Raw genomic sequence first — 27,444 nt, 5'->3', positions numbered from 1 at the left:
ATATTTTTTTCTAAAGCTGTTTTTTTCCTATTGTATAATACATTTTTATAGCAGAATATTCAGAAAATCCAAAACATAGGAAGGGGAAAACATCATAATCCCATCACTCACATCTACTGTTAACCTTTTCATATCTTTCCTCCAGGCTTTTAAGAAAATGCATGTCTAGGCCAGGCGCGGTGGCTTACGCCTGTAATCCCAGCACTTTGGAAGGCCAAGGAGGGCGGATCACAAGGTCAGGAGTTCGAGACCAGCCTGGCCAACATGGTGAAACCCCATCTCTACTAAGAATACAAACATTAGCCGGGTGTGGTGGTGGGTGCCTGTAATCCCAGCTACTCGAGAGGCTGAGGCAGGAGAATTGCTTGAACCTGGGAGGCGGAGGATGCAGTGAGCCAAGATCGCGCCACTGCACTCCAGCCTAGGTGACAAGCAAGACTCCAGCTCAAAAAAAAAAAAAAAAAAGAAAAAAGAAAATGCATGTCTATATTTTCACCCAGTTTAAATAACTATCAGATATTAATTTTGTATCCCACTTGTTCAACTAACCATATCCTCACATCCAAACACAGCTATTAAGACTGTCTTTAGCCGGGTGCGGTGGCTCACGCCTGTAATCCCAGAACTTTGGGAGGCCGAGACAGGCGGATCACGAGGTCAGGAGATCGAGACCATCCTGGCTAACATGGTGAAACCCCGTCTCTACTAAAAATAGAAAAAAATTAGCCGGGCGTGGTGGCGGGCGCCTGTAGTCCCAGCTACTGCAGAGGCTGAGGCATGAGAATGCCGTGAACCCAGGAGGTGGAGGTTGCAGTGAGCCAAGATCATGCCACCGCACTCCAGCCTGAGTGACAGAGGGAGACTCTGTCTCAAAAAAGACAAAAAAAAAAAAAAAAAAAAGACTATCTTTGAAACTGATAGCCTGCTAATAGATTATTATTTCCAATATGTTGGGAAGTCATAGTTTTACAACATGCTTGTCTTTCTTTGGCTCAAGTACTTGTTCCCTGTGAATTATAATGAACCATAAGAAGGGAAAAAAATTAGAGGTGGATATTTGCATGTTGGTGTAAACACATAAAGAGATTTTGTTTTGAAGACAGATATGACAGCAATAGGGAAGAAGTAAAGAGGGCTTTGAAATTATTGCCCACTGGATAATTTTTTTTTTGAGACAGAGTCTCACTCTGTCACCCAGGCTGGAGTGCAGTGGTGCGATCTCGGCTCACTGCAAGCTCTGACCTCTGGGTTCACACCATTCTCCTGCCTCAGCCTCTGCAGTAGCTGGGACTACAGGCACCCGCCACCACGCCCAGCTAATTTTTTTCTATTTTTAGTAGAGACAGGGTTTCACCATGTTAGCCAGGATGGTCTTGATCTCCTGGCCTCGTGATCCACCCGCCTCGGCCTCCCAAAGTGCTGGGATTACAGGCGTGAGCCACCACGCCCGGCCCACCCACTGGATAATTTTTTTCCTCAGAGTTAGTTCCAGGCACTTGCTCTTGTGGAATGAATCTGAATTTGTTTACTTCCTGGTGCCAAAAGTTACAATACGGGCTTGTGTACATGTAATGTATGTCCCTTTTTAATCATGTGAATAGTCTCTTATTCACCTGTATTATCAATAAGCTCTAAATAACACAAAATATTAGAGCACATAAAGGAATGGCTTTATTTATTCATTCATTCATTTTTTGAGACAGAGTCTCACTGTCACCCAGGCTGGAATGTAGTGGTGCGATCTCAGCTCACTGCAACCTCTGCCTCCAGGGGGAATGCAGTGGTGCGATAGCTCACTGCAACCTCCACCTCCCAGGTTCAAGCGGTTCTCCTGCCTCAGCCTCCTGAGTAGCTGGGACTATAGGTGCGTGCCCACCACGCCCAGCTAATTTTTGTATTTTTAGTAGAGACGGGGTTTTACCATATTGGCCAGGCTGGGCTCGAACTCCTGATGTCATGATCCACCCGCCTTGGCCTCCTGAAGTGCTGGGATTACAGATGTGAGCCACCGCACCTGGCGGCTTCTTTTATTTTTATGTTTGGTGTGTGAAAAGACTGAATTTTTAAAAATTCTACTATTCCAATGTCATCTAACCTCTGTTAAGTTTTGAAGTGACTGATGGGGAATGGAAGAGGTCAAATAGCTTAGTAGTGACTCCACTTGAGCAAGTTACTTAATCTTTTTTGTTCCCTTTATTCTGTGTAAAGGGGATAATAACAGAGCAATTGCCCTAGCATCTGGCACATGATAATAGTTAACATTTATCTCTCTCAAATGAAGCCTTCATAATAGCACTTTTGTGTTTTTATATTTGACTTTGATTATAAATCTACTCTTCCTAATACGTCTTAGCTATACTCCCACTTAGATACACAAAAGAGTGAAAGAAATTTGATACTAATTTACTAATGCAAGCATGTGGGTCCTCTGCGTTCACATGTATAACAGAACTTTAGACTCTTCTTAAGCAATCCTAGCAACCCTAGGTAGTCACGGATTTTTGTTTATTTGTTTTAATTTTGTTGTGCCAGAGGGCCAATGAGTATTGGATAGTCTGCTCACTCACCAATAGGGACTCAAATGCTGCATGAATACTTCTTAAAAGATCATACTATAAAAAGAAAGGTTTACTATATCCTTCAAGACATGAGAGACTTGAACAATTGGTTTATTTCTAAAAAGGGTGACATTTATAAGTTGGGCTAGATAAGTAACAACATAGAAAAATTATTTCCTCCGTTAACAAGAGCTAAAACATGTCAAACATATCACATACAATTCTTCTATTATATAGCTATCCAGTTGGAAGTTTTTTTTAACACTTATGTACAGGGCACTGATCTAACCATTTATGTGAATCAATTTACTTAATCATTAATAATAACATGAGGAATATGTTTCAATAATGCAGAATACCAGAAAATTATAGTTTTAGCATAAAAAAATTTTTTTTTTTGAGACGGAGTCTCGCTCTGTCTCCCAGGCTGAAGTGCAGTGGCGTGATCTCGGCTCACTGCAAGCTCCGCCTCCCGGGTTTTATGCCATTCTCCTGCCTCAGCTTCCCAAGTAGCTGGGACTACAGACATGCACCACCTATGCCCGGCTACTTTTTTTTTTTTTTTTTTGTATTTTTACTAGAGACGGGGTTTCACCGTGTTAGCCAGGATGGCCTTGATCTCCTGACCTCGTGATACACCCGCCTCCGCCTCCCAAAGTGCTGGGATTACAGGCGTAAGCCACCGCGCCCAGCCAGCATAAAAGTTTTTATAAGTTCTAACTAAAATAGTGGAGTCATATAAGGTTGTTCACATTAAAAGCACTTCTTATTTAAGGTTCAATATTCACTTGCTAACTGAAAAACATTGCTAAATTATTCCACAGATGTTCAGGCCATTCTGAAAAAACATCAGAATAGAGTGAAAAAACTCTTGATGCACCAAAGCAACTTTAACAAGCCATGATCTTCCTTCTCACATCCTAAAATACCTGGCCATTAATATTTGAAGAGGGGAAAGCCACACGATAAAGCATGCCTATAATATGCATCATGCTTAGTTCTCTAGAAGAAAATAAGAAGATCAAATTCTAGGAAAGAGGGAAAAGTAACTCTGTGAGATTTGTGGGAGGTGAGGAGGGAATTCAAAGATTGAAACAGACTATAAAAATATGTGATCTTTTACATTTGTTGAAGCAAAAAATCCAGAAAACAAACAACAAATGAACGAATACATGTTTAGACCAGCCGTCTTACCTGAAGAGTCCTTGTTTAAAAAGATAAGCACTAATATGACCCCCTTCTAAGTATCGGATTTCACAACCAGGCCAAATTTCTTGTAAACTTCGAACTCCTGTTCGTGGAATATAGGCATCTTCTTTGGCTTGAACCACTATAATGAGGCTTGGATCAACTGGGACTAGGTATAGGATTTTTAAAAATTCAACATATACACATTAGAAAATAAAAAAACCCACACAATGCAGTAAATAAAACATTCGTCAAACTAAACATTTTTGATTAAATTAAAAATCAACTATAATATGCTACCTTACTCATCTCCAGTACGAGATAAATATTCTAAAAATGATACAAAATACTGTGGTTTTTAAAAATTAACTAATTTATTTCTTTTGTGTGGGTGTGGGTACACAGTAGGTGTATATATTTATGGGTTACATGAGATATTTTGATACGGGCATGCAATGCATAATAATCACATCAGAGTACGTAAGGTATGCATCGCCTCAATCATTTATTTTAAAGATGGGATCTCACTGTATTGCCCAGGCTGAAATGCAGTGGCTATTCATTGGCAAGATCATAGTGCACTACAGCCTTGAACTCCTGGGCTCAAGTGATCCTCCCTCCTTAACTTCCTGAGTAGCTGGGACTACAGGTGAATGCCACCACACTCAGCAATCCAGTGTTTTTCTTTTGGGAGATAAGAGTTTCACTTTGTCACCGAGGCTAGGGTGCAGTGGTGCAATCATAGCTCAGTGCCACCTTGAATTCCTGGGCTCAAGGGATCCTCCTGCCTCAGCCTCTGAGTAGATGGGACTATAAGCATATGCCACCACACCCAGCTAATTTATTTTTGTTTTTGAGATGGAGTCTCACTCTGTCACTCAGGCTGAGTGCAGTGGCATGATCTCTGCTCACTGCAACCTCCACCTCCCGGGTTCAAATGATTCTCCTGCCTCAGCCTCCTGAGTAGCTGGGATTACAGGCACACACCATTACGCCCAACTAATTTTTTATATTTTTGGTAGAGATGAGGTTTCACCATGTTGGCCAGGATGGTCTCAAACTCCTGACCTCAAGTGATCCACCCGCCTTGGCCTCCCAAAGCACTGGGATTACAGGCGTGATCCACTGGGCCCGGCCACCCAGCTAATTTTTACATTTTTGATAAGGACAGGGTCTCACTATGTTGCCCGGGCTGGTGTCAAACTCCTGGGCTCAAGCGGTCCTCCCACCGCAGCCTCCCAAAGTGCTAGGATTATAGGCGTGAGCCACTGTGTCCAGCTCCAGAGTGTGTGAGAGTGTGTGTATGTGTGTTTGTGTGTGTGTGTGAGAGTCTTGCTGTCACCCAGGATGGAGTGCAGTGGTGTGATCTTGGCTCACTGCAACCTCCAACTCCTTGGGCTGAAGCGATCCTTCCACTTCAGCCTCCCAAGTAGCTGGAACTACAGGCTTGCAACACCACACATGACTACTTTTTTGTATTTTTTTTTTTGGTAGAGACAGGGTTTTACCATGTTACCCAGGCTGGTCTTGAACTCCTGGGCTCAAGCAATCCACCTGCCTCAGCCTCCCAAAATGCTGGGATTACAGGCATGAGCAACCACACCCGGCTGTCCAGTGTGTTTCTTAATGAATAAGATAATCTTAAATTTTCATAGATAGAATATGATACATTTAAGTAACCAACTTATCTTTGCAAACATATTCTGGAGCCAACAAAAAAATATACCCTTGAAAATATAAAATTATCTTATAGAGCATCTTTTAAAATATTTCACAAATACTTACACATCAGCAAATATTCTCAATTTCATATAAAAATTAGTACCTGAGAAATTTGCTACATGAGTACATTCATCCATGACTCCTTTCATAAATATTAAAGACTCTTTCCGAAGACTGTTTCTGCTTTGTTCTTTACTAAGTAGGTGGTATGACTGAGGGTTGCGACTTGTATAACCACTTTTGTTGGTTGAAAGTGTTTGATTGAAGCGCTTCATCTTAGAGGTATCTTGCAATAAGAGTCCTTCTGATGTCGCACTGACAGATGTTTTGCTAGAATTATGGCAGTCAGCAGGTTTTTGGGATACAACTTGGTTTGATATATCTAAATTTAAAGTTCTGGAAACCAGATTAAGGTTAGTTAGCTTGTCTGCACTGCTAGTGAAGTGTTTCACAAACTCTTGTCCCATTTTGAAAGAATCTGTCTGAACATATGAAAGGAAAGAAAACATTATTTAATATAAAATAGGGTATTAACAGCTTTGTCAAAAAAAAAAGAGAAAAGACAAATGTCCATCAATGAATAAATGGATAAATAAAATGTAGTATATTCAAACAATTAAACATTATGCAGTCTTAAAAGGAATGAAATTCTGACACATGCCACAACATGGATGAACACTGAAGACATTATCTTAAGTGAATAAGCCAGACACAAAAGGACAAATATTGTATGATTCCACTTGTATGAGGTCCCTATAGTAGTAAAATTCATAGCGATGGAAAGAGAATGGCAGTTGCCAGAGACTGGGAGAAGGGAGGAATGAATAGTTTTGTTCAATGGGTAAGTTTCAGTTTGAGAAGATAAAAATGTTTTGGAGATAGATGGTGGTGATGGTTGCACAACATGTATATACTTAATGCCACTGAACTATGCACTTAAAAATGGTTATGATAGTAAATTTTATGTTGTATATATTTACCATGACTTTTTTAAAAAACAAAGATGTATTAAAATTTAACTCACGACTAAGATAAATGACTTACACTTTATTGCTGTTTCCTACTAAACAGTAAAGGGTATCATTTAGCCTGCATCATTTTTTTTTATAGCCAAAGTTTTAAAATCCATGATCTGCCTTAACCTTTGAACTTCCAAAAGTCTTACAACTGAGTAATGTAAATTCAAGCACAGGAGGATACCAGCTTCTCCAAATCCCTTTCTCTGGTTGAACTAACCAGAATTTAAAATTACTGGCCAGGCGCGGTGGCTCACGCCTGTAATCCCGGCACTTTGGGGAGCTGAAGCAGGCGGATCACGAGGTCAGGAGATCGACACCATCCTGGCCAACATGGCAAAACCCTGTCTCTACTAAAAATACAAAATTTAGCCGGGCATGATGGTGTGTGCCTGTTATCCCAGCTACTCGAGAGGCTGAGGCAGGAGAATCGCTTAAATCTGGGAGGCAGTGGTTGCAGTGACCTGATATCGTGCCACTGCACTTCAGCCTGGGCGACAGAGTGAGACTCCGTCTCAAAAAAAAAAAGAAAAAAATTATCAAGAAAAAAAGAAATATTGCCTATTAAAGTCTCAAAACTATATTCTAAGTTTAAGGACTTGTAAATACACTTATGTGTTGCTTAATGATGGGATATGTTCTGAGAAATGCATCACTAGGTGGTTTCATTGTTGTGTGAACATCACAATGTATTTACGTAAATCTAGACGGTATAGCTGACTACACACCCAAGCTATATGGTATAATCTATTGTTTCTAGGTTACTAACCTGTACAACATGTTACTGTACTTAATACTGTAGGCAATTGTAACACAATTGTAAGTATTTGTGTATCTAATCATAGAAAAGGTACAGTAGGCAAGGCACGGTGGCTCATGCTTGTAATCCCTGCCCTTTGGGAGGCCAAGGGTGGGTTGATCACTTGAGGTCAGGAATTCAAGACTAGCCTGGCCAACATGGTGAAACTCTGTCTCTACTAAAATATAAAAATTAGCCAGGTGTGGTGGGCACCTGTAATCCCAGCTACTTGGGAGGCTGAGGCAGGAGAATCATTTGAACCCAGGAGGCGGAGGTTACAATGAGTAGAGACTGTGCCACTGCACTCCAGCCTGGGCGACAGAGCAAGACTCCGTCTCAAAAAAAAAAAAAAGAAAAAGAAAAGATATAGTAAAAATATGGTATTACAATCTTTTGGACCACCTTATATATGTGACTGAAGCATTGTTATGCAGAGCATGACTGTACAATAGAATTTAAGTAAAAATAAACTTTGTTATATGCTAAAACCAAAGTCAAAAGAAAAAATGACAGCCTGGGAAAATATATTTGCAACTCATATTACAAATGGCAAATCACTTTAATTTATTAAGAGCTAGAATTGAATAATTTTTTTGAAAGCCCAGAACCCCCAAATGAGCAAAGGATATACACATAAGGGCAACAGAAAACAAAATACAAACTGCTCTTTTTTTTTTTTTTTTGAGGTGGAGTCTTACTCTGTCACCCAGGCTGGAGTGCAATGGCACGATTTCAGCTCACTGCAACTTCACCCTTTTGGGTTCAAGCGATTCTCCTGCCTCAGCCTCCTGAGTAGCTGGGACTACAGGCGCATGCCACCATGCCTGGCTAATTTTTTTTTTTTGTTGTTGTTCAGAAGAAGTCTCGCTCTTGTCCTCCAGGCTGGAGTGCAATGGCATGATCTTGGCTCACTGCAACCTCTGCCTCCTGGGTTCAAGCAATTCTCTGCCTCAGCCTCCCGGGTAGCTGGGATTACAGGTGCCTGCCACCATGCCCGGCTAATTTTTGTATTTTAAGTAGAGACGGGGTTTCACCATGTTGGCCAGGCTGGTCTCAAACTCCTGACCTCAGGTGATCTGCCAGCCTTGGCCTCTCAAACTGCTGGGATTACAGGCGTGAGCCACCATGCCCGGCCAATTTTTTATATTCTTAATAGAGACGGGGTTTCACCGTGTTGGCCAGGATGGTCTCAATCTGACCTCATGATCTGCCCACCTCGGCCTCCCAAAGTGCTGGGATTACATGTGTGAGCCGTCGTGCCCAGCCAAACTGCTCTTAAACTTATAAAAACTTGCTCAACTTCCCTCATGCTTAAGTTAATTAAAACTACGCCATTTTCCAGTGCCAGTTGACAAAAAATAAAAACTAAAGTTTGATAACACACTGAATTTGAGAACTTATGAAGAAAGACACATTCCTGCTGGTGGTGTAAACTGACATAACCAGAATTAGACAAAATCTAACTACATTATTATACCCTTGACTCAGCAATCATATTTCTAGGAATTTACACTTATATAACATGAATGTACAAAGTTACTCACTGCAGCACTGTTTATTAATAGCAAAAGATGAGAAACAACATAAACATCTATCAACAGGGTACTGATTAATTATGGTACATCCATTCACATAATAGACTATTATATAGCAGTAAAAAATAATAAGGAAACACTTTGTATAGTCCATAAAAAAGGGAAGTGAGGCTGGGCACAGTGGCTCATACCTGTAATCCCAGCACTCTGGGAGGCTGAGGCAGGCAGATTGCTTTAGCCCAGGAGTTTGAAACAAGCCTGGGCAACATTGTGAAATCCCATCTCTACAAAAAATACAAAAATTAGCCAGGTGTGGTGGTGCATACCTATAATCCCAGCTACTCAGGAGGCTGAGGTAGAAGGTGACAGAGCCAGACCCTACCTCAACAAAATAAAAAGAAAAAGATAAAAAAAGTTCATATTTTTATTGGTTTGCACATGGACCAAAAATTCCCTGAAACACTAAACAATATAGGTTGTTATTTGTTGATGGGGATTGGACCTAAGCACAGATGGGGTAGGAATCTTTTCACTATATGTATCTATTTATACTTTTTGATGCTTGAATTATATGACCATACATTTTTTTTTTAAGTTAAAGAATTAAAATTGGTTGGCCGGGCGCAGTGGCTCACGCCTGTAATACCAGCACTTTGGAAGGCCGAGGTGGGAGGATCACCTCAGGCCAGGAGTTCGAGACCAGCCCGACCAACATGGAGAAACCCCGTCTATACTAAAAATACGAAATTAGCCGGGCGTGGTGGCACATGCCTGTAATCCCAGCTACTCGGGAGGCTGAGGCAGGAGAATCGCTTGAACTCAGGAGGCGGAGGCTGCGGCGAGCCAAGATTGTGCCTCTGCACTCCAACCTGGGCAAAAGAGTGAAACTCCATCTCAAAAAAAAAAAAAATTAAAATTGGTTGAAGGCAAGGAAAACAAAAATACCGAACAACCTGGTTACCACAACAAATCACTATAAGAGGAAGGAAGTTTAGTAACATATGGAAATGTAAAGATCAAAGGGTCCCCGAATTACTCAGAGTGGGACATCAATAAATTGAACTTTTTTTTTGACTGGGAAAATACAAAGAGTAGGGAAAACATCTTAACATTTATTGAATATTCGTTATTGTGAACTGGTTCTAAGTGAGATGAGAAGTGCCAAATAAGACTACCGCTATGGTTTAAATATGTCCCCCAAAGTTCATGTGTTGGAAACTTAATCCCCAATGTAATAGTGTTGAAAGGTGGGACCTTTAATTAGGCCATGAAGGTTCTGCTCTCATAAATGGACTAATGCCCTTACTGTGGGAGTGGGTTAGTTACCGGGAATGGATTCCTGATAAAAGAATGAGTTCAGCCTCTTCCCTCCCTCTATCTCTTTTGCACACACACACATTCTCTCTTGCCCTTATGCCTTCTGCCATGAAATAATGCAGCAAGAAGGCACTCACCAGATGTGGGCCCCTCAACCTTGGACTTTCTAGCCTCCAGAACTGTGAGCCACATATATCTCTGGTCTTATAAATTTCCCAGTCTCAGATATTCTGTTACAGCAACACAAAATTGACTAAGACAACTACATTGCAATTTCAGATGACCAAAATTTATAAACTTCCTTTAAAACATACATGTAAGTTTCTCATAAACTTTCAAATACAGGTATTCTTCTGATTATATGTATAGGAACTAACTAGCAGGTAAAGCTTTTTTTTGTTTTTTTGAGACGGAGTCTCGCTCTGTTGCCCAGGCTGGCGTGCAGTGGCGTGATCTTGGCTTACTGCAAGCTCTGCCTTCTGGGTTCACGCCATTCTCCTGCCTCAGCCTCCCGAGTAGCTGGGACTGCAGGCGCCTGCCTGCCACCACGCCCGGCTAATTTTTTGTATTTTTAGTAGAGATGGGGTTTCACCGTATTGGCCAATATGGTCTCGATCTCCTGACCTCGTGATCTGCCCTCCTCGGCCTCCCAAAGTGCTGGGATTACAGGGTGAGCCATTGCGCCCAGCCTTTTTTTTTTTTTTAAGAGAAATGGTCTTGCTCTGTCACCTGGGCTGGAGTGCAATGACACAATCATAGCTCACTGCTACAGCCTTGAACTCCTGGGATCAAGTGATCTGCCCACCTCAGCCTCCTGAGTAGCTAGGACTACAGGCATGCACCACCATGCCCAGCTTTTTTTTTTTTTTTTTTTTTTTTTTTTTTTGTAGAGACAAGAGTCTCACTTTATTTCCCAGGCTGGTCTCAAACTCCTGGCTTCAAGTGATCCTCTTACCTCAGTCTTCCAAATTGCTGTGATTACAGGCATGTGCCACCACGCCTGGTCCCGATAAAGCTATTTTGTAATAAAGTTCTTAGGCAAGCAATCAACTACCTTTTGAAGTTACGTGAGATAGACCTACTTTACAAGAGTAAAGTTTACAGTGATTTAATTATAAATAAAAAGTTCTCATTCATAGTAGAAAGATTTCTTTTTTTTGAAGTTTCTTAAGAGTCTCAGTATCTTTCAAACAGTAAAAAATTTAAATTCATGAAAAGGATTGCTGGGCGCGGTGGCTCATGCCTGTAATCCCAGCACTCTGGGAGGCCGAGGCAGGTGTATCAGGAGGTCAGGAGTTTGAGACCAGCCTGACCAATATGGTGAAACCCCATCTCTACTAAAAATACAAAAATTAGCTAAGCATAGTGGCGCGTGCCTGTAGTCCCAGCTGCTCAGGAGGCTGAGGCAGGAGAATTGCTTGAATCTGGGATGCGGAGGTTGCAGTGAGCTGAGAGCTAAGATCGTGCCACTGCACTCCAGCCTGGGCGACACAGCAAGACAGAGAAAAAAAAAAAAAAAAGAAAAGGATCGGTCACTTTTGAAGAGCAGTAGGAAACCAATTCATCATCTTGAAAACTGGTAAATTACAGAAAAAAAATCAAGCATTTACCATAACTGCCTTTCTTATACAAACTGAACTACCATGTAACTAAATAATATATGAGGTAAGTGTCTCCCTATAAAAGTATTCAAATACATGAAAAAGAAATAATAGAATATCAGCAACCTTCAATGAATTGATATAGTCATTAAGCATCAGTAGAGGCTTATATCATAAAAAAAGAGATAATCAGATATTATGTGTTTCCTATATAGCCTTGTGAAAGAAATCAAAACAATGAGTTTAATCAAGCCTTTAGATCCAACTGCCAATTTTCAGGCAACGTAGAGCAATATGCTGAACTGTACCATGAGAATGCAATCAGAAAAATCTAGATTGTGAGAAACCCTACAGGTCAAATAACCTAAATTCTTCATGAAATAAATTATAAGGAAAATAAAGGGATGGAAGGCAAGTTATCTTTTTTCTTTTTTACAGATTGATTGATTGATTTTTTATTATTACACTTTAAGTTCCAGGGTACATGTGCACAACGTGCAGGTTTGATACATAGGTATACATGTGCCATGTTGGCTTGCTGCACCTATCAACTTGCCATTTATATTAGGTATATCTCCTAATGCTATCCTTCCCCTAGCCCGCCACCCCTCAACAGGCCCCGGTGTGTGATGTTCCCCGCCCTGTGTCCAAGTGTTCTCATTGTTCAATTCCCACCTATGAGTGAGAACATGCGGTGTTTGGTTTTCTATCGGAAGGCAACTTATTAAAGGTACTTCAAATAAAAGAACTATAGGGTCTACAGATACACATTTGGATAATAAAATTATTTTAAAGGCAGAAGGAGTAATTACTATAAACATAAGGATAACGATTACTAATAATGCAGGGAGGAAGGCCTTGTGATTAGGACACATTTGAAGGGGTTTCTGGGTTGGGTGGTCAAGTTTTATTTTTGACCTAGGTACTAGTTACAGTGTGTTTGCCTTTTAATAAATGTAGTAAACCACATATTTGCTTTGCATGATTCTCTGTATCTGTGTTTTATTTTAAAAGAATTTTTATTTATTTATTTTTAAGACAGAGTCTCACTCTGTCGCCCAGGCTGCAGTGCAGTGGCACAATCTTGGTTCACTGCAACCTCTGCCTCCTAAGTTCAAGAGATTCTCCTGCCTCAGCCTCCTGAATAGCTGGGATTACAGGCACCTACCACCACACGTGGCTAATTTTTGTATTTTTAGTAGTGATGGGGTTGGCCAGGCTAGTCTCAAACTCCTGACCTCAAGTGATCAACCCACTTCAGCATCCCAAGGTGCTGGGGTTACAGGTGTGACCCACCATGCCCAGACAAAAATGAAAAATCTTTTAAAGTAAAAAATAGTATGTACAGCTATGTTTTTAAAAATTTGCTATTCTCTTTAAAAACCTGAATCATTAAATATACAATCAACTCCCCCCACCACCAATGTTGGGTGGAAAGTGAAATACTTACTCCACAGTATTCAAGCATGTGAATAATTTCTTCTTCATAAACTGTCTGGGTATAATATTGCTTTTCCAGCTCCCTCCAATTAATTGATTTACTCAACACACCCTGAAATAATAAGCTAAATTAAGATCAAACCACATCATAAGGCAATTTGCCCAATACTTTTATTATTATTACTGTGTGAGACTACCTTTTTTTTTTTTTTTTGCAGACGAAGTCTCACTCTGTTGCCCAGGCTGGAGTGCAATGGCACTATCTCGGCTCACTGCAACCTCCACCTTCTGGGTTCAAGCAATTCTCCTGCCTCCGCCTCCCAAGTAGCTGAGACTACAGGCATGTGCCACCACGCCCAGCTAATTTTTGTATTTTTAGTAGAGACAGAGTTTCACCATGTTGGCCAGGCTGGTCTTGAACTCCTGACCTCAGGTGGTTCACCAGCCTCAGCCTCCCAAAGTGCTGGGATTACAGGCGTGAGCCACCGCACCTGGCCTAAGACTTCCTATCTTTAGCCTGCTTGTAAGGTTGGCCCTTAACTGGAGTCTGGGAACTTGACCAGTAAACAGCTTTCTATACTTATATAAAACTTTTCCTAAATGATAAGAGTGGGTCACTGTACCTAAACTGCTTATATAAACAATGCGGTTTCTGCTGAACACCTGCTTTCCTTCTGAATTTTTGGTGCATGCTAGGCAGAAGTTATCTAAGTCACTAACCCCTGATAAAAACTCTGGACTGCAAGGCTCAGGGGAGCTTCACTGATGGACAGCACTTTGCACTTATTGTCAATAATTATTGTTGGAAGAATTAAGCATGAACTGTAACACTCCACTAGGAGAGGACTCTTGGAAGCTTGTTCTTGGTTTCCTTTGGACTCTACCTCATGCGCTTTTTCCTTCTGTTGACTGTGTTGTATCTTTTGCTGTAGTTAAGGCTTAATCATGATTACGACTATATCCTGAGTCCTATAATTCTTTCTTTGAATCACCAAAGCTGAGGGTGGTTTTGGGGACCCCCCCAAAACAATTACCTCTAATTATATATAGCTACCTAATATTAATTACAATTAAATTACCGTAGTGAAGACCCCAGATGCTGTGGACCAAGACAGGCATGGAATCAATGGCATGGGCTTAGGCCAGTTGGATACCGCTAAGGAAGCCATCTGTAATATAACAGATAGAGAGCGTCTATTTAGAGTTTCTATTCATTAAAATAAAAATATTTAATATTAATAAGCATTCCGTGCAGTAAATAGTTGGTCAGATAAACACAAAGTCTGCAAACATTCGTGAGAATGTCTAGCCACCTCATTAAATTCCCCAAATCATAAATTCAACATTTAATTTCCCCCTTAGATAGCAATAAAATGTAATACAAAACTTTAACCTCAAGACCATTCGCTGAGAGCTACTTTCTACTGTGTAAATATGGAGCAAAGATGCTGAGATGTAGATGCTGGGCAGCAGGGTAAACACACTCATTACTTAAGTGACTTGCCAGATAGAGCAAAATCACAACTATAAAACATCAGACCATTGAGGTTGACTGAGTATGCCAAGAATTTGGTGAACTACAAAGCAGATTATATAATAGATCTAAAATAATGTAATGTGTGTGATTAGAGAAGGTAAAATCACTCTCCCTTTTGGAGAAGGGAAAACTTTATCTTTTCAAAAAGTTACTTTCCCTTCTGGGCTGGAGGAATCAGAAGGGAAAGGCAGGCTTCATGAAATGGATGAGTCTTCTAGAGGAATGAAAGATAGGGTCTTGTCTTCCAGAGAAAGAATCAGTATGATCAAAGGCAAGACTGTGAGAATGCACAGGGTCTCATAGGGAAACAGCCAATATACTTCAGTTGGGATGGTCAATAGGCACACATGGCCAATGGAGTGAGGGAGGTAAGTAGGGCTAGAAAGATTGATCAAGATCAGATTAGAGGTCCTTTGTTCTATAGATAATCGGGAATTAATAAAGAGGTCTGAGCAAAGGAGTAGTATTGTCAAAGAAGTGATTCAAAGAAGGTAACATGATAGTAGTTTACAGGATTGAATAGAGAAGGGGAGAACTGAGGTAGGAGACCAGTTAATAGGCAGTAATCCAGGTGAAAGTTATAAGGACCTGACCTAGGTGATAACAATGGAAACACTACTAGGTAGGAAAATAAATCCTTTTCCATCTTTTGTTTCACTGTCAGGTAGTTGTTTTGAATTTTTTTTTTTTTTTTTTTTGAGATGTAGTCTCACTCTGTTGCTCACGCTAGAGTGCAGTGGTGCGATCTCAGCTCACTGCAACCTCCGCTTCCTGGGTTCAGGCGATTCTCCTGCCTCAGCCTCCTGAGTAGCTGGGATTACAGGCACGTGCCACCACACCCGGCTAGTTTTTGTATTTTTAGTAGAGACGGGGTTTCACCATGTTGGTCAGGCTGGTCTTGAACTCCTGACCTCAGGTGATCTGCCCGCCTCGGCCTCCCAAAGTGCTGGGATTACAGGTGTGAACCACCGTGCCCAGCATAGTTTTGAATTTGAGTAAGTTTTTGAGCTTAATTTTCTAATTCAAGAGGCATACAGAAACTTCATATAATAATAATTATTACTTTGAGATAGAATCTCGCTTCTGTCTGGGTCACCTAATCAGGAGTGCAGTGGTATGATCACAGCTCACTGCAGTCTCAAATTCTGGGGCTCAAGTGATCCTCCCACCTCAACCTCCCATGTAGCCACAACTACAGAGATGTGCCACCATGCCTGGCTAATTTTTTAAACAATTTTTTTTGTAGAGACAGGGTGGGTCTTACTACTATGTTGCCTAGGTTGGGGTATTATTATTTTTTAGGCCAGGTGCAGTGGCCCACACCTATAATCCCAGCACTTTGGGAGGCCAAACTGTGTGGATCACTTGAGCCCACACACAAACAAAATACTAATAATTTTTTAAAAATGTACTGAGTGACTAATATGTGCCAAGTAATAAACCAGAGCATATTCCTGGCCCTCAATATCTCAAATGCTTCATGGAGAAAACAGACTGCTAAACAAGTCAGTAAAGTACAGTAAAAAGTTACTAATCAGAGTTTGAAGTATAGTCTGGAGGTAAGGCTGGGTGTCACAGCTGAAACAGAAGGGTAAGCTGTTACTCCTAGGTGAAAGAGAATAAGGGAGCACTAGAGAGATGCTAGCACGTGACACAGCTGGAGCCCAGTGTGCACGCAAGCTTTTGGCAGGTTTTGAACAAGACAGAACAAAGACTAGATTTAGAAAGATCACTGTAGTTAGGGTGTGGAGGAGAAATGGTTAAGACAAAGATTAATAAGAGAAAAGACTAGAGACAGAGAAAGCAATTAGGAATCCATTTTAGTACACTCTAAAAGGCAGACAAAAAGTAAAATAGGTTAGTGGTACTAGGGAGACAGATAAATGGAAAGTATTTTCCAATTCAGCTATCTTCACCAATGTAACAGCAAAATTGGGCATTTATACTTGAGACTTGAAAAGTTAAATTTTATAATTAATTTCTGTTAAATCTAATATCTGAGATACAACTGTGGAGTAGTACAATCAATAAATCGTACAAAAAATTAACATCATTACTTCATAATTGGAGTAAGAGTTTGGAATCTGTTTCTGCTTCCTACTTTTACTAAAACTAATTCTATACCTAAAGTGAATTTTTAAAATAACCAGGTTCTCTAGATCTTACAAACATAAACATAATTAAATGTAAGCAGAAATAAAAAGGCTTACGTGTCCTCCCATGGATATTCCAGTCATTCCTAAAGGGCCGTAACCTTCCCTCTCTAGCCAGTGCAAGAGAGCTGCAGATTCTAAAACAAGAGCTCCTCCCATCACAAAAAGGTCGGACACATTTTTTAAGCTGGACCTTCTAGCCTCACAAAACAAAATAGAAAATGATTATTTTATGTATTTACATGCTAATATATGCAAATTTACAACAGGCTGCCAGACTTCATGCATCTCTTCTAAAGGACCAGATAGTTAAGTAAAACAATGTAATAAATTGGAATTAGGGCCAGGCGTGATGGCTTACGCCTGTAATCCCAGCACTTTGGGAGGCTGAGGCAGGGGGATCGCTTGAGGTCAGGAGTTCAAGACAAGCCTGGGCAACATGGTGAAACCTTGTCTTTACTAAAAATACAAAAATTAGCAGGGCATGGTGGCGCATGCCTGTGATCTCAGCTACGTGGAAAACTGAGGCATGAAAATCGCTTGAACCTGGGAGGCAGAGGCTGCAGTGAGCTGAGACTGCACCACTGTACTCCAGCCTGGGCAACAGAATGAGACCCTGTCTCAAAAAGAGAAAAAAAAAATAGAATTACACAGCTGCTAACATTGGATTACATATCAAATCACCTAAAACTTAACAAAAAAAAGTGTTCCTGTTCTATAGCACATAATCTTTACTGAAATTATTATAACAGAATTTAAAGCATAACTTTTTATTTTTCTTTGAGACGGAGTCTTGCTCTGTTGCCCAGGCTAGAGTTGCAGTGGCATGGATCTTGGCTCACTGCTGCCTCCACCTCCAGGGTTCAAGCGATTCTCCTGTCTCAGTCTCCTGAGTAGGTGGAATTACAGGCGTGAGCCACCACGCCTGGCTAATTTTTGTATTTTTAGCAGAGACGGGGTTTCACCATGTTGGCCAGACTGGTCTTGAACTCCTGAGCTCAAGTGATCTGCCTGCCTTAGCCTCCCAAAGTGCTGGGATTACAGGCGTGAGCCACCACGCCCAGTCTTAAAGCATAACTTTTAAAAAAGGCAATATAAATAAAGAATTTAACCAAACACTAGGCTCATGTATTACTGAAATCTCAAATATGTTGCTTATTTTCACAAAATACATAATTTATGAATATAATAAAATATAAAACAAATACATTTTTATAAATATACATGTTTTAAATAAAGACCAACTGGAATTTCATTTTTAGAAGCTAATTTTACACAGAAGTATATTTCCTTATAAAAAGTATTTAAGCTGGGCACAGTGGCTCACGCCTGTAATCCCAATACTTTGGGAGGCCAAGGTGGGCAGATCATGAGGTCAGGAGTTAGAGACCAGCCTGACCAATAGGATAAAACCCTGTCTCTACTAAAAATACAAAAATTAGCTGGGCGTGGTGGCACGCGCCTGTAATCTCAGCTACTCAGGAGGCTGAGGCAGGAGAATCACTTGAGCCCGGGAGGTGGAGGTTGCAGTGAGCCAGAGATTGCGCCACTGCACTCCAGCCTGGGTGACAGAGTGAGGCTCCATCTCAAAAAAAAAAAAAAAAAAAAGTATTTAAATATATCTTTTTGGGTCCTAGAACCATCCGTATATAGTGATCAAAATAAATATATATTATTACTAAAATGACCAAATTAGAATCTACTTTTCAAAATGTAACTTGTATTAAGACACATGTAACTGGTTATTGAATGAAACCTTGCCAAAGTATACAAAAATTCATTTTACCAATGATTATTTATCATATGCCTACACATAATATGTGCAAAGAACCAGGTGCCAGAAGGAATGCCAAGTGTGAAAAACAAAATCTTGGCTCCCAAAGAGCTTACTTCCACTGTCCTACCAAGTCCTCTCAGAGCTCTAAGTCCAGAAGGGAGGGTTTCTTTTTATGGAAACTATGCTATCCTTCGTCCAAACAGATCATAGTCATGCTTCATCAGAAAAAAAAAAATTATTCTTATCTTTGTTTCCTATCCTCAAGTCATTTTTCTATTTATGATTACACAATTTCCCCAACTTTTTCTTTTAGCCTTGTATGGGAGCCTTGAATTCTCAGGTCCCCCAGATTGCTCTTTTAGTAGAAGTTACTGATATGAAATTCTGGGACAGTAGTTATTTATAATAGTAGACTCGGTCTCAAATTGTTTCAGCACTTTTGATGAAAACAGACTTAAGATGGCTTTTTAAAAAGAGAGAGCGACAGAGAAGTATCTGTGATTTAAATTGCAAACCATTTCTTTTTTCTTTTTTTTGAGACAGAGTCTCACTCTCATTGCCCAGGCTGGAGTGAAGTGGCTTGATCATGGCTCACAACAGCCTCGACTTGCCAGGCTCAGGTGATTCTCCCACCTCAGCCTCCTGAGTACCTGGGACTACAGGTGTGCACCATCATGTCTGGCTAATTTTTTTTTTTTTTTTTTTAGATGGAGTTTCGCGCTTGTCACTCAAGCTGGAGTGCAATGGGGCGATCTTGGCTCACTGCAACCTCTGCCTCCTGGGTTCAAGCGATTCTCCTGCCTCAGCATCCTGAGTAGTTGGATTACAGGTGCCCACCACCATGCCCAGCTAATTTCTGTATTTTTAGTAGAGACAGGGTTTTACACTGTTGGCCAGGCTGGTCTCGAACTCCTCACCTCAGGTGATCCACCTGCCTCGGCCTCCCAAGTGCTGGGATTACAGGCGTGAGCCACTGCACCTGGCCATTTTTTTTTTTAGGGGCGGGGGGTATATTTTGTAGAGACAGGGTTTTGCCATGTTGCACAGGCTGGTCTTGAACTCCTGGACTCATGCAATCTGTCCATCTCAGCCTTCCAAAGTGCTGGGATTACAGGTATAAGCCACTGCACCCAGTCAGTAAGCCATTTCTTATGATGAATTATTAGAGAAAAATCAAATACATAGGGCCATTATTATATTTCTTGACTTGAGTATACAGTATGTGATAGAATATTTTATAAACATTATAATTCTCACAACACTTCTACATGGAAGAAATTACATAGTATTCCCATTTTATGAATGAGGTAATCAGTAAACAAATGTTACAATTCCAACCTATGCCTGTATGACTCCAAAGTCAGTCTTTCTATTAAACCCAGGCTGCCTCTCACTAGACCTAAATAAACTCTTCTTGCTTTTTAACCAATTTATGGATAAGGTAAAAATTACATACCTAATTCTGAATTCTGGGCTTGGTTCCAAAGTGGAAATTCTTCAGCTGGGCGCGGTGGATGCTGCCTGTAATCCCAGCACTTTGGGGGGCTGAGGCGGGAGGATCACCTGAGGTCGGGAGTTCGAGACCAGCCTGACCAACATGGAGAAACCCTGTCTCTACTAAAAATACAAAATTAGCTGGGCGTGGTGGCGCATGCCTGTAATCCCAGCTACTCGGGAGGCTGAGGCAGGAGAATTGCTTGAACCCAGAAGGCGGAGGTTGCAGAGAGCAGAGATCACGCCATTGCACTCCAGCCTGGGCAACAAGAGCGAAACTCCATCTCAAAAAAAAAAAAAAAAAAAAAAAGGTGGAAATTCTTCAACTACTTAGCTTGGCCTTTAATTTTTCACAAGGTTTCACAAAGTTCATTATAAACTATCAAGTTTCATTCTTCATAGTATACCGGTTTGCCTCCACCCCATCCTACTTTCATCTATACCTCTTTCATGCTATGACCACATAGAACATGGGACTTCCAAATCTACATCTCCAGCACTTTCCAACTGCCTACTTGATTTCTCCACTTGCAGGTTTAACAGAAATTACAAATTTGACACATCCAAGTCAGAACTTTTTTTTTTTTTTTGAGACGGAGTCTCGCTCTGTCGCCCGGGCTGGAGTGCAGTGGCGCAATCTCGGCTCACTGTAAGCTCCGCCTCCTGGGTTCACGCCATTCTCCTGCCTCAGCCTCCTGAGTAGCTGGGACTACAGGTGCCCACCACCACGCCCGGATTTTGTTGTATCTTTAGTAGAGATGGGGTTTCAGCGTGTTAGCCAGGATGGTCTCAATCTCCTGACCTTGTGATCTGCCCGCCTCAGACTCCCAAAGTGCTGGGATTACAGGCGTGAGCCACTGCGCCCGGCCCAGAACTTTTGATTTCCCTCCCACACCATCCAATTCATACACAAGTCCTATTATTTAAACTTAACTATATCTTGAACTCAGGAAAACTTCTCTCCATTTCCACTACTACCTAGTTAAACTAAAGTCACTACTCTTTCCTGCATCATTTCAATAGCTTCCTATTTGTTTTCTCTGCTGCTACTCTTGTCCCAGTAAACCAAAGTAGCCAAAGTAGGTTTTAAAAAATATAAATCAGGCCACTCATCTGCTTAAAGTCCTCTAGACACTTCCCATTGCACTTTCAGATCATTCACATTGAAAGCATGATGGCTTTTCACCATCTGGTCCTTGTCTTTTTTTTTTTTTTTTTTTTTTGGGATGGAGTCTTGCTCTGTCGTCTAGGCTGGATGCAGCAGCATGGTATCCGCTCACTGCAACGTCCGCCTCCTAGGTTCAAGCGATTCTCCTGCCTCGGCCTCCCCAGTAGTTGGGACTACAGGTGCATACCACCATGCCTGGCTAATTTTTGTATTTTTAGTAGACACAGGGTTTTACCATGTTGGTCAGGCTGGTCTCGAACTACTGACACCAAGTGATCCACCCACCTTGGCCTCCCAAAGTGCTGGGATTACATGTGTGAGCCACTGCAGCCAGCCCTTGCCTATCTTTCTGACCTCATCTTGTACTACTCTCCCCTCCTGACGCTTACATTGGGCTTTTCATTTACTTTTCCTTCTCTGTGGCTGATCTTATTCCAAGTCTTCATGCAGGTGGCTCCTTCTCATTATATCATGTTCTCATATATAATACTGTTACTACACTGCATCCCATATTACTCTTTATACAATTGCCCTGCTTTACTTCATTCACTGGTCATTGATAAATATCTGAAATCACCTTATTTATTGTTATCTATCTCCCACACTAGAATATGAACTTTATGAGAAAATGTTGTCTTATTGTTGCAGTATTCCTAGTGTCTAGGGTCAAATATTTATTGACTGAACCAAACCAAACACAATACAGATTATGGAAATGCCTTGGAGTTTATCATTTTAAAAGACTGAAAAGAGAAAGTTTATCTTCAGATTTTCTATACTATGCATTGTAAGAATAAAGTGTCTAATTACACAAAGTAAATGTACCTTAAAAAGGAAAAGGTAGGCTGGGCACAGTGGCTCATGCCTATAATCCCAGCACTTTGGGAGGCCAAGGTGGGTGGATCACTTGAGGTCAGGAGTTTGAGACCAGCCTGACCAACATGGTGAAAGCCCATCTCTACTAAACATACAAAAATTAGCCAGGTGTGGTGGTGCATGCCTGTAATTCCAGCTACTTGGGAGGCTGAGGCAGAGAATCGCTTGAACCCAGGAGGCAGAGGTTCCAGTGAGCTGAGATCGCACCAGTGCACTCCAGACTGGGTGACAGAATGACTGCGTCTCAAAAAAAAAAAAAGAAAGGGTTTTATCATTTCTTCATTTACAGTTTCACAACTAAACTATATATTAAGTCTACCTGTTAAAATTTTTTATTGTATTTCCTTAACAGACATTAAAATGCAAAAATCTTAAAAATAAAAATTAAAGTCAGTATTCATACTACAGTTTCATAACAGAACTCCCCCCCCCCATAATATTTAGGTATTCAATTTAGAAATGGTTAACTGAAGGCAACCAAAATTTTAATACTGCTGGATATTGGGTAAAAAGACTGCAAAAATGAAAGTGATATATACTTACACTTGGTCCTTGGGTTTCCTGCAGCCATTTAAGAATGTGGGTCAAAGAGAAAGTTTTAAAATAATTAAATAATTTTGTTTGTCTGAGAGTACATTAAATAGTTAAATTTTACACAATTTAATACTGAAATAACTCCATTCTAATTATCTTAAGTAGGCTGTTTAGAAGTTCTTAAGTTTTCAACTTAATTATTTTCCTTTTTTTTAAAAAAAAAAAAAAAACCAGCTTTACTGATATAATCATATATCACATAGGCCGGGCGCGGTGGCTCACGCCTGTAATCCCAGCACTTTGGGAGGCCAAGGCGGGCGGATCACGAGGTCAGGAGATCGAGACCATCCTGGCTAACATGGTGAAACCCCATCACTACTAAAAATACAAAAAATTAGCTGGGCGAGGTGGCGGGCGCCTGTAGTGTCAGCTACGCGGGAGGCTGAGGCAGGAGAATGGTGTGAACCCTGGGGGGCGGAGCCTGCAGTGAGCCAAGATTGTGCCACTGCACTCCAGCCTGGGGCGACAGCGAGAGTCCGTCTCAAAAAAAAAAAAAAAATCATATATCACATAATTCAGCCAATAAAGTATACTTATTAATGTTTTCAGTAAATTAACAGGGTTGTACACTCTTCAATTTAAATTTAAAATGAAGTTTATTTTTTATTTCGTTCATAAAATTTTTATTATAGAAAATCCAAAAAGTACAAAAAATCAGATTAAAGAACAACTACTTTATCTACAGACAACCATATTAACATTTTGGTGTATTTCTCTTTATCCACGGTTTTTTTTTTTTTTTTTTGAGGCGCAGTCTTGCTCCGTCGCCCAGGCTGGAGTGCAGGCGGCTCACTGCAACTTCTGCCTCTTGGGTTCAAGGGATTCTCCTGCCTCAGCCTCCCAAGTAGCTGGGATTACAGGCACACGCCACCACGCCTGGCTAATTTTTGTATTTTTAGTAGAGATAGGGGTTTTGCCATGTTGGCCAGGCTGGTCTCGAACTCCTGACCTCAGGTGATCCTCCTGCCTTGGCCTCCCAAAGTGTTGGGATTACAGGGCGTGAGCCACCGTGCCAGGCCAATGCACAGTTTTTGCTTTGGATTTTGTTTTTAGTTTTTTTTTGCATACCTGTGCCACACCATAGAGTTTTATATCCTATTTCCTTTTCTTTCTTTTTTTTTTTTGACACAGTTTCACTCTTTTTGCCCAGGCTGGAATGCCATGGTGTGATCTTGGCTCACTGCAACCTGTCTCCTGGGTTCAAGTGATTCTCCTGCCTCAGCCTCCTGAGTAGTTGGGATTATAGGCATATGCCAGCATGCCAGGCTAATTTTATATTTTTAGCAGAGACAGGGTTTCACCATGTTGGCCAGGCTGGTCTCGAACTCCTGACCTCAGATCATCTGCCCACCTCGGCCTCCCAAAGTCCTGGGATTACAGGCGTGAGCCACTGCACCTGGCCTATATCCTACATTCACATCAGAAATACTGGTCATACATTATTGTAAACTTTTTAATAATAACAGTTAAAACTTACTGAATGCTTATTATTTATCAGGCACTGTTCTAGACAGTATTAATCATTTAATAATCTCAATAACCTAAGAGATTATTCCCATTTATCAATGAGAAAATTGAGGTACTAAAGGTTATGTAACATGTCCAAGGTCACAAAAGTGGTAAGTGGTAGAGAAATAAATATAACACAGGTAGAGAAATAAATGGAATACAACCAATTGCATAAAATTCCAATATTATGAATCACAGTTTACATAACTATTTCTATTTTAGACATTTAGCTATTTCTAATGCTTTACTGACATGTTTACTAAAGCTATACAAACATGTTTTTGTTATTTAATTTTTTCTTAGTTTTTATCCTTAGAATAAATTTCCCAGAATCAAAATCATTTTGTCAAGGGATATGATGTTTCAAAGCTCCTGATACATATGGTAAAATATGTTTTCTCAAACGGTTGAACTAATTTTCAGTCATTAGTAACAAGAGTGCCCATTTCAAAGCAGCCTCACCAGTACTGTTTTTTTTAAAATATTTGATCATTGTTGTTTTAACTCTACATTTATTACCAGCAACGTTGAACATTTCTTTATATCTGTGCACCAGTTTCATTTCTTCTTCTGTGAATAGTCTGACGTCATCTTGAAAATTAAGTTAAGAACTGTCTAAACCTCAACTGATACTGTAAATGCATTTAAAACATGATTGTTTCCTTAATAGCAAACATTTGACTTACTAATATTAAAATCTAGCATAAGTCTCCCAAGAAATGGAAGTACAATTTCTTTACTGCACAATAGAAGTACAATCCTTATGTTAATTTTTAAAAAGCATGAAATAGTCTTTCACTCCTTTTGATTCTTGCTCCTTAAGTATTTTCTGAACTGATGACTAAATTTAACTGGTTTAGAAAACTTGGTTACTATCATTCCTTTTGATGACTAAATATATCAATAAATAAACAAGGCAAAAGATTTCTTAGATATCACAAAAGGATATAATAAGGGTTTTCTAACAATAAAGAAGCCATTCGGGCTTCTTTAATCATAGGACGGGCCATTAGTGTTCGTCGCCTCCAGTAATGCTAAGGAAAGAAAAGAACACATACTCAAAAGAATATAGTAGCCACTTCTGTTAAGGAGAATATGTTAACAAATTATCTAGAGATTAAGGCATTATAATAAAGTCTTACATGATCTCCTGTTCCAGCAAGATGAATGCATACAGGTCTATATTTGCTGTTCCATTCTTTAGGCACAATAAATTGGAACCTATTTTTAAAAGCATAGACTTATCAATAAAATTCTCTTTAAAGGACTTTCAATAAAAACTTTCAGTTCTTAAAACTTTTACATTTAAATTATCTGACAGAAAAGATCAGTCGAAATTTTAACATTCAAATTGTAATTAACTAAATTAAGTTGTCCAAACGCTACAAAGATATTGTAAATCTGCTTTCTGTTAGGATATTAAAATATTCAATACAACACAAACAGAATTTATTGTCCCTATTCTTTACCTTGTTCAATATCATAACTTAATAAATACATAAAGAAATTTTCTTATCTTGTAGAGACACCACTATATATGAGTAAGTCTTAAAAGAAGTAACTATTGGCCAGGCGCGGTGGCTCACGCCTGCAATCCCAGCACTTTGGGAGGCCAATATGGGTGGATCACCTGAGGTTGAGAGTTCGAGACCAGCCTAATCAACATGGAGAAACCCCGTCGCTACTAAAAATATAAATAAAATTAGCCGGGCATGGTGGCACATGCCCGTAATTCCAGCTACTCAGGAGGCTGAGGCAGGAGAAGCGCTTAAACCCGGGAGGCAGAGGTTGCAGTGAGCCGAGATTGTGCCACTGCACTCCAGCCTGGGTGACAGAGCGAGACTCCGTCTCAAAAAAAAAAAAAAAAAAAAAAAAAAAAGGAACGGAGTCTCACTCTGTTGCCCAGGCTAGAGGGCGGTGGCATGATTTCAGCTCACTGCAACCACCGCCTCCCAGGTTCAAGTGCTTCTCCTGCCTCAGCCTCCTGAGTAGCTAGGAGTACAGGCCCACACCACTGCGCCTGGTTAATTTTTGTATTTTTAGTAGAGATGGCGTTTCACCACGTTGACCAGACTGGTCTTGAACTCCTGACCTTGTGATCCACCCGCCTCAGCCTCCCAAAGTGCTGGGATTACAGGTGTGAGCCACCATGCCTAGCCAAAAGAAATAACTCTTTAGATATAGCTCCGACTTTTTCTCTTTGCAAAAGAAATGCTTGGCTGTACAAGCTGTTGATATATCAATAAGAGTTTATGTTGTCTTTTTTTAAAACTTTTAGTATATGATAGAATCTGATTCATTAAGATGTTGATACTTACAAGTAAAGTCAATCCATGCCAGAAAACAAAAAACACAAACGCACAGATAGTTTTCTCTATTTGTCTATTTTTTTTTTTTTTTTGGAGACAGGGTCTTACTGTTGCCCAGGATGGAGTGCCGTGGCATGATCACAGCTCACTGCAGCCTTAACTTCCTGGGCTCAAGTGATCCTCCCACTTCAGCCTCCCAAGTAGCTGGGATTACAGATATCTGCTACCAAGCCCAGCTAATTTTTCATTTTTTTTAGACATGGGGTCTCGCTATGTTGCCCAGGCTGGTCTCAAACTCCTAGACTCAAGTGATCCTCCCGCCTTAGCCTCCCAAAGTGCTGGGATTACAGGCATGAGTCATTGCACCTGGCCTTTGTTTTTTTCTTATTGTAGTATTTTGGTCCTTATTTAATGTTTTATGTTTTTTCTTTTAACCTATATGACTTCTCTTTGTTTTACTCTGGTGGAATATACATTTTAACCTTTTTTTTTTTTTTTTTTTTAGAGACAAGGTCTCACTTTAGCCCATAATTGGGTGACACAATTGTGCGGTGACACAATTACAGCTCACTGCAGCCCTGACCTGCTGGGCTCAAGCAGTCCTCCCACCTCAGCCTCCCAAGCAGCTGGGACTACAGGCATGTGCTATCACGCCTGGCTAATTTCTTTATTTCTTTTTTCTTTGAGAGATGGAGTTTTGCTCTTGTTGCCCAGGCTGGAGTGCAATGGCATGATCTTGGCTCACTGCAACTTCCACCTCCCAGGTTCAGGTGATTCTCCTGCCTCAGCCTCCCAAGTAGCTGGGATTACAGGCATGTGCCACCATGCCCGGCTAATTTTGTATTTTAAGT

The 27,444-nt window shown here is 40.5% G+C and overlaps 1 protein-coding gene across 19 annotated transcripts in view, besides 1 other annotated feature; it reads right to left on the bottom strand.

Moving 5' to 3' along the window:
* Nucleotides 1–27,444, bottom strand: part of ABHD18 (abhydrolase domain containing 18) — a 74,548-nt gene that overhangs the window by 5,529 nt on the left and 41,575 nt on the right. For 4 of the 19 annotated variants that reach the window (NM_001358454.3, NM_001358451.3, NM_001319305.3 and 1 more), the window contains 8 exons: nucleotides 25,427–25,505; nucleotides 25,234–25,318; nucleotides 22,725–22,752; nucleotides 16,924–17,062; nucleotides 14,256–14,345; nucleotides 13,187–13,288; nucleotides 5,572–5,950; nucleotides 3,753–3,915 (listed from right to left, as the gene is read on the bottom strand). In NM_001358454.3, coding sequence (NP_001345383.1) covers nucleotides 3,753–3,915; nucleotides 5,572–5,950; nucleotides 13,187–13,288; nucleotides 14,256–14,345; nucleotides 16,924–17,062; nucleotides 22,725–22,752; nucleotides 25,234–25,318; nucleotides 25,427–25,505 — 1,065 coding nt within the window. Of the gene's footprint in view, nucleotides 1–2,648; nucleotides 3,916–5,571; nucleotides 5,951–13,186; nucleotides 13,289–14,255; nucleotides 14,346–16,923; nucleotides 17,063–22,130; nucleotides 22,753–24,803; nucleotides 24,877–25,233; nucleotides 25,319–25,426; nucleotides 25,506–27,444 lie in introns of those variants that run through there. The other 15 variants (NM_001366044.1, NM_001366045.1, NM_001366043.1 and 12 more) reach the window with 8 other exon arrangements.
* Nucleotides 5,697–5,866: an enhancer, noted in NCBI's record as "experimental_73920 CRE fragment used in MPRA reporter constructs". NCBI's record gives its function as "activates a minimal promoter by MPRAs in K562 erythroleukemia cells, with activity observed for the non-introgressed 4:128949799 variant allele {active_cell/tissue: K562}" and the evidence as "EXISTENCE:reporter gene assay evidence [ECO:0000049][PMID:34662402]".

Source organism: Homo sapiens, chromosome 4 (assembly GCF_000001405.40).
Source record: "Homo sapiens chromosome 4, GRCh38.p14 Primary Assembly".
NCBI lineage: Eukaryota > Metazoa > Chordata > Mammalia > Primates > Hominidae > Homo > Homo sapiens.
The sequence above is the reverse complement of the archived record's forward strand: the minus strand, read 5'-3'. Positions and strand labels throughout refer to the sequence as shown.